Genomic DNA, 1,856 nt, shown 5'->3' with positions numbered 1-1,856 from the left:
ACTTAGCCTGTTGTTATCCTCCTCCTTTGGCCTCAGCAACCTCCAACCCATCCATTTGCCCCTCCCTGAGTGGACAGTATGTAGTGGACCTTAGAGACTTGTGACATCCTTCCCCATTGGTGACTGGGACTTTTCCCAGAAGAATGTGAACCACAGAATACCTCCATGTTCAAAATACAACACCAAACTGAAGCTAATCCGTGTTTCCTCTACAGGGTTCCAGCACAATAACTTTAGGGAAGAAGAGAAGATGATTTAACGACTGAGGTTTTTCCTTTTTTTTATTGGTTGGTTGGTTTTTTTACATCAGATGGGTAATGTGCAAATGTGGTAACAAGGTTGGAGGGCAGCATATCTCGCACATGAGTATAAATACCCAATCATCACACATAAGTTGCAAAAGGATCAACAACTGCATTTTGTAAAGCTGTGAGGTTTTCTGTTATTTTAAATCCCCATAATAGGTCAGAACCCTTTGCTAGGCATAATGGAAGAGATGGGTGTACATTATGTACAATTTCTGTGTTCTGTGGTAGCCTAAGGAAAGATGCCCAGATCTGGAAATAAAGCACAGCACCATAATGACAGTGATCAAGAGGTAATGAGGAACCTGCTCACCCAGTTTAGACTCTGATTACACCCTCAGAGATAACATTCATAGTCCAAGAATAGGAACATTCTGAGCATATGGCATTGACCAAACCTTCTGTACAAAACCTCAAAATAGGCATTGTGTGAATACAATACATCAGCGTACCATATTTCATGTAATAATCTTTTCATGACGGTCTCATGCTATAGTATTTCAGTGACGGTGTAAAGAGAAGAAATGTGATTAAACCAAAGAGGGAGGTGATGGGGATTATCCTCAGGAAAAAGAAAGAGAAAAATGAGGTGAAAATACGATGGTCCTTAGTTAAGCAGATAAAACAGACTAAGCAGAATAAAGAACAATGTATGGTGCTCATTCCATCTGGGCATATTTGAGACAGCTATTTAATAGGGTATTTTGCTTTTGGCAGACTTTCTCTTTAAACAGGAACTGTGTGCATATTAATAGTAACCCTCCACATACAAATCAGCTTGGTTCTAGCTACATGGCATTATTGTCAAACATGCCAATACCTGTAAAATGTTGAAGTTACCACAAAAATTTAAAAAACAATAATGCCCTATAAATCTCCATGGGTTTTATAATTCATTCCTTATCAATCAAACTAGTTAGGATTTTTTCAATCTTTGGTTTAAATTCTTTTTCCTCATCTGTGATATAATAAAATGCAGCTAATACACTTATTATTATGACATTTTGCAGAGTACCACACAGTTTTTGCTCCTTTTCCTTTTCCCTCATTTCTTCCTTTTGTCTGTGGTATATGCCTACACTGATATGTATAGGGTGCCATAAAACAAAGTGGAGTGAGTAAGAAGAGATGATTATGAAGAATAAATACAGATTATTTTAAAAGTGGAAAAGTTCTTGGGTAGGTAGTTTTCAAAAAGTAGCCTAAACTGAGTTTCTGATGAAAGATAAGTTGTTTCCCTGAAAGTATTTTCCTTCTTTTACCCATCACCTCACCTGTCTTCCCCGGAGTTCTTTCTCTAACTATACTCTCCTTTGCTCTCAAATGCTTTTTTTCTTTCTCTACTATTTTTTTCTTCTGTTTTTCTCTCACTATGGGAGACTACTGCTAAATTGTTTTCTCTATTATTTCCCATGCAATCTTTCATGAGAATTCTGCTTGTGGCTGAACTTCAGTGTGTTTGGCTATAAGCAGATGAATACAATGCAGTTTGGAATCCACATCATAAAGCAAATCACTCTAAAGCAGATGGCATTTTCCCATGGGAAAATG

The 1,856-nt window shown here is 37.4% G+C and overlaps 1 non-coding gene across 1 annotated transcript; it reads right to left on the bottom strand.

Annotated features, from left to right (window-relative positions):
• Positions 1-304: 304 nt before the first annotated feature.
• Positions 305-406, bottom strand: LOC124901541 (small nucleolar RNA U13). Its single transcript, XR_007059972.1, has one exon. It is a non-coding gene; the product is annotated as a small nucleolar RNA U13 (small nucleolar RNA).
• Positions 407-1,856: the final 1,450 nt, after the last annotated feature.

The sequence above is a fragment of the Homo sapiens genome, chromosome 6 (genome assembly GCF_000001405.40).
Source record: "Homo sapiens chromosome 6, GRCh38.p14 Primary Assembly".
In the NCBI taxonomy this organism is placed as follows: domain Eukaryota; kingdom Metazoa; phylum Chordata; class Mammalia; order Primates; family Hominidae; genus Homo; species Homo sapiens.
The sequence above is the reverse complement of the archived record's forward strand: the minus strand, read 5'-3'. Positions and strand labels throughout refer to the sequence as shown.